Below are 14,107 nucleotides of genomic sequence, written 5' to 3' on the forward strand. Positions count from 1 at the left end.
ATGATACCTCCAGTAAATCATTTAGATTTTCCTTGTTTAGAACTGGAAAAAAATGTTAATGGGTTTGGAATGAATTGATTCAATATTAAGAGCAGTGTTTCAATTCACCTTATTATATTTGCAGTAGGCCAAAGGTTGTGCAACCTGCTAATCTGCATCAGCTTCACATGTGGGCAGGAATATATGGGCTGATTTGGCAGATATATAAAGAAAGGCTAATTGTCTGAAGAATTTCCTGATCACCTTGGAAATTCAGGATGAATTTCCTGATCACCTTGGTACTGGAATGGAAATTCTCACCACTAGTTTAACTGTAATTATTTGTAAGGGATTTAATTTACAAAGTACATTTTAATTTGGTTTTCTATCATTGGACACTTAGAAAGTATCATGTATTGCCAAGCTACCACCTTAGTAAGGATTTGTTTTTCTGGTTAATAATTCAGTATGCTTACTTTTTAAAGTATTTTTTCCAGTAGAGCAGAAGAATCGGGAAAATCTGGGAAACTTCCCAGGTTCAGGGAGGGATGTAACCCTGGATGCTGGAGGTCGAGGGACATCCAAGGCCAGCCTGTTTTGCTTCACAGTTTTGCTTCAAAGTGGATCTTGCTAGAATTAATTTCAAATTGGAAAGTCAGACCAAAAGCATGCAGATAGGGAAATTGTATCTGGAAAAACATAGGCATTATATATATGATGTTTCTGGTTGGCAGGTGTGCTTGAAGATGACCAGCTAAGAAACCAATACCACATTCTTCTGTTTTGTGTTTTAATATTTTCAAGCTCAAGAACAGAACATTTAAATTTCCTTTGATTCTGCTTTATGGTTTCTAGTAGCCCAAGAAAGCTGATAAGGCAGTAACTTTCATGCCACTTAAGGACCTGAAGCTTAGATTTTTGTTTTGTTTTTTAAACAATGTATATCAATAGTTTTCCAGCTCTTGTGGTTCATGGATTTATGTCTGGATTCTAATTCTGTATTTGGTCATTGGATATAGCATCTGTGACATAAAAACAGCAATCAGAAGTACAGGCATATGGTACATGTTGCTTTTCATATACCCAAACATTGTTTACATTTTTTTCTTTTCCTCCTTCTCTCCCCTTTCTTTCTCTTCTCCACACGCTGCCTTCACTTTTGGCTTTCTTTTTACCATCCTCCCTTTTCTTTTAGCCATCTCATTTCTGATTGTCTTCTCCTCTTCTACTTTGTCCTTTCTCATCCTGCTGTCTCCTTCTTCTCTGGTTTCATTAATCTCTCATGCCACCACCAGATTGGTTTCTCTGCCTGAGTATTTTCAGTTCCATTGCCACTAGAGCTGCTTCTCCCCTCTTGCCTCTGGAGCAGCTTCAGTTTACATACTGATGATGAGGCTTCAAACCGGAAAATCTCATAAGTCTCGGGTGAAAACGACATCCAAGCGAGTTCACAGTGCATGCTGGCAGGGCAATCCGACTGCTCTCCATGTTATAATATGATAACCTTGTGGCTTTGTGCTGACATGCCATACTAGAATAAAGCCTGCTGCCTTTTAAACTTTGATACACTCTGTTATCATATTATGATTCCTCATTTTTAGAATTTGAACCTTTACAGTATCTTGCATTTTAATAGCACAGGTTGTTTTTTTTTTTGAAAAAGAAAAAGTATATAAATTCATGCTCTATGAAAATGATTTATTCTGGTAGCTTTGTTTAATTAGTATATGTCTTCTGTATCCAAATGCAGATTTTAGTTTCTTCTTTTTAATCTCCCGATAATAAGACAGACATATTAATCTTATCTGATACCACTTGGCAAAAGGATTGGTTAATCTTGGAAGAAAAAAAATGAGATTTCAGGAAATTTAAAACACATTGTAAATGGGCATGATTAAAGAAAAAAATGAAAAACACTGTGTTCAGCTGGGCACAGTGGCTCATGCCTATAATCCCAGCACTTTGGGAGACAAAGGTGGGAGGATCACTTGAAGTCAGGAGTTCGAGACCAGCCTGGCCAACATGGTGAAACTCTGTCTCTACTAAAAAACAACACCAACAACAAAAACTAGCTGGGTGTGGTGGTGCACACCTGTAATCACAGCTACTTGAGAGGCTGAGGCATGAGAATTGCTTGAACCTGGGAGGCAGAGGTTGCAGTGAGCTGAGATCATGCCACTGCACTCCAGCCTGGGTGACAGAGCAAGACTCAATCTCAAGAAAAAAAAAGACAAACACTGCGTTCTAAAATACAAGGTTGGTTTTTTTTTTTTTTTTTTTTTTAACCAAATTCTAATGTTGACACACATTTTCCTCCTTGTAGTCATACTTTACTTTTTAATTATTCAAAATTGATTGTTAAACATTTTATGTCATAACATACCCCTTGAGTCATATCAGCTATGGGATTCTGTATTACCATGTATTTGTCAGCTTGGCTAGAGGGAAACTGTTGCTATTGATGCAGTAGAGACCTGGTTTGTATTGTCTTCTAAAATTAGAATGTGGTGTGCCTTCGGTTAAGATAGGTTTCTGTCAGTGCGGCTACAGAGCTAGCTAAATTTAACAATGCCATATAGGCACATATGTGCACATCAGATCTATGAAGACAAAGGCTGTGTTATTTCAGATGCAAGAGAAAATACTTTCTGATTTTTAAGAAGGTCCAAGTTAATGCTATTAACTCGAGTAAGAAATGACATAGCAAGTAAATGAGTTTTTAAAGAAAGAGGTGGAGTACTAACTTAGGGTTTGGAGGAAGGGACAAATTTAAACTGGACTTTAGGCAATGTCCAGAGTTGGTCCTCAGGGTAAGGAAAGGTTGCTCCAGGTGGAGGGGAAGTGAAAGAACATGAGTTGAGCACAGCCCTATATAAAGATCAGGTGTGCTAGGGAATGAGAGAAGAACCTGTCCTTTCAGGAACAGGTGCTTTGTGATGGAGGTGGAGAGCTGTCCAGTGGAGAGAGAGTCATAAGACAGAAACCAAGATTCACCCTTGCTATTGATCTTTGTAACCAAGGATGATCTTTTCAAAATAATTATATAATCCCGCTCATTTTTTCCTTAAAATTTTTTTGTCTTCTTTTACTTTCCTGAATATGCCCATAGTTTACATATTCCCATTGCAACGGTTTATTTTCAAATAATATCTTTTCTTTAAAAACAACACCAAGGTCCACATTGCCTTTAATACATTAACTACCATTAATATTTCTTCTACACTCCTCCAGAGTAAGAGTTTGTTTTTCTTATGATGATGATGATGATGACGATGATTTTTTGAGATGGGGTCTTGTTCTGTTGCCCAGGCTGGAGTGCAGTGGCACGATCATAGCTCACTACAGCCTCAACCTCCTGGGCTCAAGAAATCGTCCCCCTTCAGCATCCCAAGTAGTTGGGCCTACAGGTGTGTGCCACCACGCCTGCCTAATTTTTAATTTTTTCTGTAGAGAGACGGTCTCACTATGTTGCCCAGGCTGCTCTCGAACTCCTGGGCTCAAACAGTCCTCCTGCTCAGCTTCTCAAAGTGCTGGGATTACAAGCATGAGCCACCATGCCTAGCCAAGATAATTACTTTAATGGAATGGCATTTCATGAATAGTCCTTATCTGAATATTTACCACTTGTATCCTTAGTGGATTTACGTGAAGAGATGAAGAATTCAAATGTAGGTCCTTGTTTATATATTTTTAACACTGCAGTCCCATTCCTGGCGATGGTTTTCATAGAAGTAATTATTAAAAGTATTTTTCAGTGGTACAAAGATACAGATAGCGTTGATGTAATTTTTATTGGTGAGAAAGCCTTTTCTTAAATGTCTGTTGTGTGGCAGCCACTGTACTAAGGGCCTCGGGGGATTTGCTGTTCACAGTTTACTGCCTCTGTGAGATTGCTACTGTTATACCACTGTGAGGAAACTGGGGCCTGAAGTAGTAGTGAAACAACTTGCCTTGGGTCGAACAGTAAGTGAAGGAGGCAGGATCTGAATTGAAGTGGCTTATCAAGGATTGGAAAAAACACTGAAGAGGCCTCAGCAAATTCTTGTAGCTGTGGTCCAGTGCCTTCATGGGCAAGACTGATTATGGACTTAGTTTGTAAAGGGTGCCTTGCCAAGGGTTAAGGATACAGAAAGATATATTAAATAATATATTTGTATATGATTTGTGGCTGACAAGGGACTTAAGTATATATATGTTTGTGTGTACACATGTTTGTGTACATGAGCACATATATGAAATGTCATGTGAGTGTAACAAACTCTAACAATACGGAAATGTAGAGGTGAGAGTAAACAGCAGAACCTAGGGAGTGATTCACGAGACTTGGTGTGGATGTGAAACAACAATGAGTAAGACCCAGAGGGGTGGCTGGGAAAAGGGAGAAGTCAGGAGAGTGATCTGAGCGGAGGTTCAGTGGTAAGACCGCATGCTTCCTTTAGGAGACAGTGAAGAGATGAGCCTGGCTGCAAGTCGTTTAGAGACAGTTTATGTACTATTCTGAAGGTTAGTCTGTGAAATTGTCACTGCAGCTCATTGGCAGTGATTTTGTTGGTTTTTGAAAAGAGGGGATAATATGGGAAGAACATAGAAATATTTCCATTTAAAGGTCACAGGAGTGAGATGGTTTCCTTGGACACATTTCACATGGGGCTATGTCCTGATTAATTAGCCCCCCCAATAGCAAATGCCTTTGACAAATGGAATATAATGAAAAATAAGAAAAATCAGGCTAATAGTGACTCTCCATTCATATGATGGGTTGCCAGCCTCCCCTTTCATTTGCTCCATTCAAAAAGTATGCACTGAAACCTTTGATTAGAGGCTCTGATCTAGCTCTTATCTGGTCCTCTAATGGGACGTATAGACAGCGTTTCAATGCCTGATTTAAAAGTTCATTAGGAATTTTGTTTACTTTTTTCTTTCTTTCCCTCTTTCTCTTCTTGATCCCTCTACCTCTCCTTTGAATTATCTGGATTCAGCTGTTTCAGCTCTATTTCTTTTGGCTGTAGAGACAGTCAGAAAACTGCCTGGCCCCTTTTTTTAGCATCATATATTTTATGAGTTTAATTGATAGAAAAAATATGCCCAAGTGATGTCATGTCTGAAGGATAAGAAAGAGGAAACCTAAAACCCCAAATCTTGGTTAAAGTTCTATTAGCCCAGACCTTGGAACCATAAAAGACTGGTACAATTCTGCCAAATTCTGTAACATACCTCATTGGTGTTGCATTTCAGTGGGTTGAACCCTTATGTCAGCTTCCGAGGGAGTTCTATACTATTCTTTATTTATAGGTAGATATTAGTTTGAGATCTGAATAGTGTGACAGACTGCATTTTCCTTACAAAAATGCTTTTTGTCAGCGAGAAAATATAGCTTTTCTTTTACTTGTTCCCATTAGGGCTTAGATATTATGAATCTCACAAATGTTGGCATGGAAGCTCCATAGAAGGCTTGTGGAAAACCTTTTTGCTAGACTCCAGGAAAGCCTGGTTAGTTCAATTCAGGAAACATTCTTTCAAGGTTCTGCGGTATTATGTAGTCTGGGTATTGAAGCTCAAGGAGAAAGACAGACATATACACAACTCACATACTAGAATAAGTCTAAATGTCTAGAAATAAGTGTATATTGTTGAGACAATAGATGGGTGATCACAGTTACTTCAGGACATTACTGGGTGAGCAACGGCTTCCATTTTGGTGGGTTTTTTTTTTTTTTTGAGACGGAGTCTCACTGTGTCACCCAGGCTGGGATGTAGTGGCGTGATCTCGGCTCACTGCAACCTCCACCTCCCAGGTTCAAGCAATTCTTTTGCCTCACCCTCCCAAGTAGCTAGGATTACAAGCACTCACCACCACACCCAGCTAATTTTTGTATTTTTAGTAGAGCAGGGTTTTACCATATTGGCCAGGGTGGTCTTGAACTCTTGGCCTCCCAAAGTGCTGGGATTACAGGCGTGAACCACCGCATCTGGCCCATTTTAGTGTTTTCTAAGTGCTTGGTGCTTTACATGTATTAGCCTGTTGTCACACTGCTATAAGGACATACCCGAGACTGAGTAATTTATAAAGGAAAGAGGTTTAATTGACTCACATCTCAGCATGGCTCTGGAGGCCTCAGGAAACTTACAATCCTAGTGGAAGGGGAAACAAACATGTCCTTCATCACATGGTGACAACAAGAAGTGCTGAGCAAAGGGAGAAATGCCTCTTATGAAACCATCAGATCTCTTGAGAACTCAGTATCATGAGAACAGCATGGAGGTAACCACCCCCAGATTCAATTATCTCTTACTGGGTCCCTCCCACGATACATGGGGATTATGGGAACTACAGTTCAAAGTGTGATTTGGGTACAGACACAGCCAAACCATATCATTACAGATATAAATCTCTGAGTAAATCCGGTGTTTGATTTCTTCTAGCTTTTTAGCTTATGAGTAGAGGTCTTTCTCCTCTACTCCAAGAATTTTCATAGACACACCACTTAGTACTTACGTTTACCACCATTGTTATTATTTTTAAGAATGTACTACTTTATATTTTTAAACATGAAGGACTAGCTCAAAATTTTGTAGCTTCCCCCCCCGCCCCAATCTTTTTTTTTTTTTTGACTCCTTTGTGATGGGTAGTGGTTTAAAGACAGCAAAACATGACTTTAACCAGAACACTAACTAGCTTTATACATAATTCAGCCTATGAACATGTATCTGGCAAGAGAAATTCCTGATCTGTGGTTCGGCAGATCCATGAGAGCTGCTTCTCCGGATTTTCTTTGCTGGCCTTGCTTGCTTTTTGTGCTCCTGTCAAAAACTCAGGTTTCGCTTGCTGGTTGGAGCTCACTAACAAAAATAGCTTCTTTCCCTATAGCGCCTGCTGCTGGTGCTGTGCAGGTTGAGGTGTTCCATTTGTGCTCCTTGATAGATTCATTGTTGAGCATTAAGTAGGTGGCTGGGTGCAGTTGTCACCTGAGTACTAAATAGGAAATGTTCTGTGTAGATTTCTTAAAAGATATTTGCTTAGCCGGGCGTGGTGGTGCCACCCGTGGTCTTAGCTCCTTGGGGGGCTGAGGCAGGAGGATCACTTGAACATGGGAGGTCAAGGCTGCAATGTGCGGAGATCATGCCACTGCACTTCAGCCTAGGTGACAAGGTGAGACCCTGTCTCAAAAAAAAAAAAAAAAAGGAAGTTAAAAAAAAAAAAAAGATACTTGTGGCTGGGCATGGTGGCTCACATCTGTAATCTCAGCATTTGGGAGGTCAAGGTGGGCAGATCACTTGAGGCCAGGAGTTCGAGACCAGCCTGGCCAACATGGTGAAACCCCATCTCTACTAAAAATACAAAAAAATTAGCTTGGCATGGTGGCACATGCCTGTAATCTCAGCTACTTGGGAGGCTGAGGCAGGAGAATTGCTTGAACCCACGAGACAGAGGTTGCAGTGAGCCAAGAGTGCATCATTGCACTCCAGCCTGGGCAACAGAGTGAGACTCTGTCTCAAAAAAAAAAGAAAAGAAAAGATATTTGCAAAAATCGCTTAGTTTTTTAAAGTCTATCACTCATACTAGCATTGAGTTATAACTTTTTCTTTTATTAATATTTTATGTACATATAACTATTGGTATCTGCTGGGATATGCATAACACTAATAAAAGGGTTTGGAGTAATTTGTTTGGTTATGATCTTAAGTCAGTTTTGTAATCTGTAATCTGCTTCTTTCTGCATTCACAGAGCTTTGTGAATTCTAACTGGCAGCTCTTCCAAGATAGAATCTCATCTTTGAATGCTAGGGTAACATTTAGAGTTTTAGTTCAGTGGAAAATTAGCAGGTAGTTCTCTTAAGTTTATGTAGAAGAGGGGCTGGGAAATTTGGTGCTGTTAGTTTCCGTACAAAATCAGCCCTAGATATCCCTTCCCTATTGTATTTTTCTACAAATGGCAGGAGCTCCAAAAATTAGACTCAGCTATTTTCTGTCTCTGGGAAGCCCTTCTTTTGTGTACAAGCATCCAGGGCCCCAAAGGCTCTTCTTGCCAGCCTGGGAGAAGAAAGGCTATCAGCATGGCATTTAGATAATCAGCCTCAGTGGTCCAGGAATTGGGTCACAACTTCTCCATATTTCATTTCCTGTTTTTCTCTTTGGAATCTGAGGGAGTCCTTTCCAATCCTCACATCTCAGGGAACCTTCCCCAAGTCACCAGAGAGACCTGATTGTTCCATCACCTTCTTAGACCTGTTCCCATCAACTTGAAAGTTACACTTCAGAATGAATAGGTTGGAAAAGTTACACTTCAGAATGAATAGGTCTCTAAATGTCTGTTATGGAATGCTGGTGAAATGGTTGAATTAAGCCCTCTGAAAATGTTCTCATCCATAAAAGTGATAAGAAAACTGGCAAAAATTACTGGAATAAACTTTTTCAGAACTCTAGAAATTAAAGTCTTGCAGTAACCCAGGGAGCATCTATTCAGGAAAAGGGACTGATTCTCAGAGCAGGAAGTTTTGTGGCATTTTAACTTGTTCTCATTCCCATCCCTCCCTCTCCAGTTCCACAGTAGCCTTGAAAACCAGTAGCTGCAATCACAGTGAAAACCAGCAGCCTGGCAGCCTCTGGCAGGGGCAGGATGGCGTTGGAGTGTCTTCAAAGCACCTCTGCCTCCTCCTTTTCCTCCTTCTCCTCTCCTGGCTCTCCCTTCTCTGAGATTTGAGAACTGCTGGTGGAGAGGAGGGCCCAGGGGAGTGCATTGCTGCTGAAACTGATTTCAAATTTCAGTTTAGGGAACATGCACCATTAGCTGTTGACAGAGTCTGGGATCATGCAAGATGTATTACATGGGACAGGACTAAATAAAGCTCATGTGTGCCAATTATCCATGGGAGTCCATGGAGAAACTGATGCTGCCTCTCACTGGAGCTTTTAAAGTATACCACAGTGAATTGGAGGGACACTCTCCAATTTGGTTCTGCTCAAATTATGTGAAGTTTCATAATAGCTTCAGGAAGAAAATATTATAGTAACCGTTTCACTTTATGTAATTCTGTAACAGAACACATGCCAAGGGTGTTAGTTTGCCACAGAGGTACTCATGCCTCCTACTGAGTCACTGGCTTAATCCCTGCAAAGCTCAGGCCTTTGTAGAAAGTTTATTCAAACAGGTAAACTAGGATGATCAGTGTTTGGAAAACGAAGAAAGTTTAGCCTAGAGGGCTGTGGCAAAGGACCTGATGCAGGCTGCCTTATCCTCTCTTTCAAAGATAGTATATTGAATTGATTTATTTGTGTTAAGATGATTATACAACAGCATCATGTATATACATTATTTTATAGTTATAACTAGTTTCATTTGAGCGGTTTGAATGTTAATTGGTGACGGATTACTGCTGTGATTTTTTTTTCAATCTTAAGTGAATCGGTGTGACATTTATTTAGTAGAGTTTTGGGGCACTAATCAATTAGCCTCATCTTTTTTTCTGTGGAAACTGTTTGCCACTGAATTCAGCCTTATTGTTATCTAGGTGGACATTTGCAACACCAGGTAGTAAGATTTTCAAAGCTGAGTTTTTCTAATGATATTTGGTTCTTCAGTCCTGTGTATTGTGGAGGGATTTGGTCTCATCACAGAAATCTGCAAATGTGCTTCATCGGGTAGATCAGGACCAGCTCTCCATCTAAAAAGGCCTTCTAGGAGACATCCTACAGGGTGACTGAGGAAGAGTGTGATGATCCCCTTATCTAGTTAGCTCTCTATCTTAAGGTCTAAACCTAGACCATCTCAGTAATGTTTAGCATAAACAATAGGTACTTAGTAAAGCCAACTTTGGGGCTTAAAAAAGAGATTTGGTTTGATTTCCTGTGGCTGGTGAGCACCAGAGGCCATTTCCTCTAGATTGCTTACCTTGTCTAGGTGTTCTTGTTGTGGTAAAGTGGCTAATATCTTGTAAATCCTCATTCTGTTGCTGTTTTAGGGTCAGTAAAGCCATCTCCTCAGGGAAGTGGTTATTAGATAGTGTGAGCTTCTGCAGGGCGCAGTGGCTCATGCTTTTAATCCCAGCACTTTGGGAGGCCAGGAATTCGATACCCACCTGGGCAACAGAGCAAGACCCTGTCTCTACAAAAAAAAATTTTTTTTAATTAACTGGGCATTGTCTCTTGAGCCCAGGAATCTGAGGCTGCAGGGAGCCGTGATCATGGTACTGCACTTCAGCCTGGGTGACAAAGTGAGACCCTTGTCTCCAAAAAATACATGGTATCAACATCATGCGTTGGAGCTGAATTCAAAACCTGTTTTTTTTTTTTTTTAAAGTAGTCATTTACTCACATGGTAATTAAAGCAAAGAAACCAAATATACAGTTACAAAAATTGTCAGATTCCATAAAATATGCATGATGAAGAATTGATTAATGTACATGCTAACCCATGGCACAGTCCCTAAAATCTAGTCTTGTATGTTTAAGATCATCCTAAGTTGAGTCCTTTGAAAGTAAATTTTCAGAGGTAAAGAATTATGACATTTCTCAGGGTGCATTTATTTAGTGAGAGGAAATCCTTTTAAAATGATTCTAAAATATAGAGCAAAATTTCCTATTAAGTCAAAAAACATCCTCACTTTCCTAATAAGTGTCATATATAGAATAAAGATTTAAAAAGAGAAACTTGCTTACCAAGGTATTGGCCACTGTGTTCTGTAAGAGATGCCTATATGCTGCTGTTTTTGACAAACTAAGCCTTAATTCACCATGATGAAATAATTATTCAGGGTGAGAAATGACACCTATCTAGGACTGAAGCAGAAAATGCTGCCAGGATGACAGGATGTGAACATTTGATAAAGAACTAGCCAGCACAGACAGCTGTAGGCGGTAGCTTTTTCACATGATCACCCAGCAGATTGTTGATGAGTCAGGTTGATGATGAGCAACTCGTGGAAAGTGACTGTCCTAAATCGCAGTGAGGAGACTTCTGGTTTTGCCTGGTCTCATCTCATCCCTTATTTGCTATGTAGATGTAATGTCTCTGGGCTTCCGTTTTCTTAACTGTATCAAGAAAGGATTAGAGTAAATGATACCATAGCTCTTCAGTGCTATGATTTTGTTGTTGCTGTTATTGGTCGTGATGGAGGTTTTTAAATTTATAATGTTATTATTTTAGACATACAAGTTCAGATACTACCTTTTATTACTACTCTATTTTTATATAAACAAATAATTGGAGAAAATAATTTTTAAACCAAATACCATACATTTTAGAAAAACTTTAGCTCTATTGTTTTTGAGCATAGAATACAACTAATAAACAAGTTTCTCATTTTTTTATTGACATTTATATATTGCGTATTTTCTAAAGTCTTTAAATGTTAATAAGTATGTATGTGTTATGTCATATTAAATGTATTTTAAGTGTTGATCCAGAAAATGTATTTGAGATTAGCTATCTACTGCAACAAATAGAAGCCCTTTGTGTTAATGTTTGGGAAGTAGAATATTATTCTAATTAATTTTGTTGCTTTCTACACTCCATAAAATAATGACAGGGACATTTTAGCTTCTTAGAAAGAGACTATTGCAATATAGATCAAGAACTGGATCAGTAAATAAAAAGAAAGAATGTGCTACATTACTTTACACCTCTTAAGAAACACAAATAAGGCTGGGCACGGTGGCTAACGCCTGTAACCCCAGCACTTCGGGAGGCCGAGGTAGGTGGATCACGAGATCAAGAGATGGAGAGCATCCTGGCCAACATGGGGAAACTCCATCTCTACTAAAAATACAAAAATTAGCGGGGCATGGTGGTACACACCTGTAGTCCGAGCTACTCGGGAGGCTGAGGCAGGAGAATCGCTTGAACCTGGGAGGTGGAGGTTGCAGTGAGCTGAGGTCGTGCCACTGCACGCCAGCCTGGTGACAGAGCGAGACTCTGTCTCAAAAAAAAAAAAAAAAAAAAGAAAAGAAACAGATGTGTAAGGTTTGTCTACTTGCTGGAATAATGAAACTGTATTAATATTTCAAAGTGATGCAGAAATATGACACTGTAGAGAATAACCTCTCCCATTTTCCTTAGAGACTGGTTTTCATTAGTGTATCTTCTCAATCATTGCTGCATATGAATACAATTTAACAAAAGGCAGTTGATTCCATTCAAATTACTCTTTCTTTTTAAAACTTAGATTACTTTGTTTTACACTGGAAGCTATTGCTATCAACTAAAAATGAAAACTCTTTCTAGTAAACAGTCATGTACTTAACAAGTGATTCCATTAAAGAAATTCAAGACTGAGGTTAAAATAAGAAAGATAGAGGAAGGGGAAGAACTTCAGATGTAGATTAAGAAGATGATATATGCTTGGGTCTCATTGGCTGTGTGATTAGTTTTTAAAGTTGTACCAGTCTCTGAGACCTCCAAAAAGTGTGTTAACAAGCATACCCAAGATGGGCTTATGGCAAAGTGACACATTATAAAGCTGTATTTTAGAGGTTGAAATCAATCTTACTGTTGCCATTTGGTGGCGGTTTTAACCTACAATCCTTGTTTTGGTACTGGTGAAGAGTAGTGTCTGTTAAGTGCATGTGCCTATGCTAAGAAAGTAACCTGTTGTTTTATAGAAGTTTCTCTTTTTGTTTGTAGATATAATACATTGCCAAGCAGAAGAACTCTGAAAAATTCAAGATTAGTGAGTAAGAAAGATGATGTGCATGTCTGTATCATGTGTTTACGTGCCATCATGAATTATCAGGTATGTTGGAGCTTCTGGTTCTTTTAAAAAAAACCTGAATTAATCAGACTCAGAAATGACTGCTGGGTGCAGTGTACACCGCTTGGGCGAAGGGTACAATAAAAGCCCAGACTTCATCATCCTACAATTTATCTGTGTTACCAAAAGCTGCTTGTACCCCTAAAGCTGTTGAAATTTTTTTAAAAAAGAAGAAAAACCAACCAAACAAAAAAAAAAACAGACTCAGATTTTGTTCTCTTTGGTTTCTTTGTATTATTTCTATTTGAAGTAAATGCCAGGATTTAACGAGATTCTATTAAAAAAGAAAGGCCTGGTTCATCCTAATTCTCAAGGTTTAATTCTTTGCTCTCATATTTTAATAAATATATATAATTTGTGACGTATTTAAAGGAAAGGTGTTTTCCTCCTATAGAGATAAACTTACCTAGATTGCTTGGTGAATGCTTGTGACTACTAAAGATTGAATAAGCTGCTGTTGCAGGTAGTAATGAAACAACTCTAGAACACCAGGAATGGATAGAGACAGTGGTTCTCAAAGGGTTATATGGCAAACAGGCAAAAAGTTACAATTATTGACAGTTGGGCTCAGTGGTTCCTAATCTTTATAAGAAGCACCTAGAAGATCGTTGAAAATGCAGATTCCTCCTTTGGGTAATTGAGATGCAGGTTGACCCCACTGTAAAAACACTGGAAGTTACGGTGGAACACGTGTGCTGGGTTAATCTTAACAACAAAGTGGAAGTTAGAGCCTGTAGTACCTAGCGTGAACTGGTAGGGTCATCAGTTTAATTAGGTCAGCAAAGCAGGGGTACAGGGGTTCCACTTAGAAAAGTGGAATTCAAATATAGAAATAGGATTTGATTTCCATTAATATGGATGCTACAGTGGGTCCAAGTAGAAGTGGGAGATAAATACATAGGTCGAGGGTTGGTGTTAGAGTTCAAACCAACACAAAAGGTGCTGTGTTAAATTTAAGAAGGGAAACATGCATTTATTCTTTCCATTTTTTTTTGAACTTTGCCAGACGGCCCCTGTTCCACATAGGCAACTGAGAATACAGCATTGAATAAATCTGTGGCCCAGGGAACTTACTTTCCAGGGAGGGGAGACAGATGACCAACAAATAAATTGGTAAAATGTATATGTTCCAGATAATAATGATGAAATGAAAGCTAATGCTTACATGTTACACTTTTCAGGTCTAGTGCTTTTAAACCTCTTAAGTCATGTAAATAGCCCTGTGAGATCAATAATATTACTCTCCCCATTTTACTGATGAAGCTGGGACACAGAGAAGTTTGGTAATTTGCCTAAAATCACATAGCTAGTTAGTAGTGGAGTCAAGATTTGGACCCAGGAACACTTTGAACCCAGAGAACCATTACTAAGTACTGTAGAA

The 14,107-nt window shown here is 39.1% G+C and overlaps 1 protein-coding gene across 14 annotated transcripts in view, besides 1 other annotated feature; it reads left to right on the forward strand.

Moving 5' to 3' along the window:
* FMNL2 (formin like 2) overlaps positions 1–14,107 on the forward strand; it is a 314,653-nt gene that overhangs the window by 227,363 nt on the left and 73,183 nt on the right. For 13 of the 14 annotated variants that reach the window (XR_241279.5, XM_011510531.2, XM_011510533.4 and 10 more), the window contains one exon: positions 12,600–12,708. Coding sequence is in view for 12 of the 14 variants with exons in the window: in XM_011510531.2 (XP_011508833.1) it covers positions 12,600–12,708 (109 nt within the window). In the remaining 2 variants the exon portion in view is untranslated. Of the gene's footprint in view, positions 1–12,599; positions 12,709–13,749; positions 13,840–14,107 lie in introns of those variants that run through there. The other variant, XM_011510536.4, reaches the window with a different exon arrangement.
* Positions 2,532–2,621: an enhancer, noted in NCBI's record as "active region_16648". NCBI's record gives its function as "activates an Ori minimal core promoter by ATAC-STARR-seq in GM12878 lymphoblastoid cells {active_cell/tissue: GM12878}" and the evidence as "EXISTENCE:reporter gene assay evidence [ECO:0000049][PMID:35858748]".

The sequence above is a fragment of the Homo sapiens genome, chromosome 2 (assembly GCF_000001405.40).
Source record: "Homo sapiens chromosome 2, GRCh38.p14 Primary Assembly".
Taxonomy (NCBI): domain Eukaryota; kingdom Metazoa; phylum Chordata; class Mammalia; order Primates; family Hominidae; genus Homo; species Homo sapiens.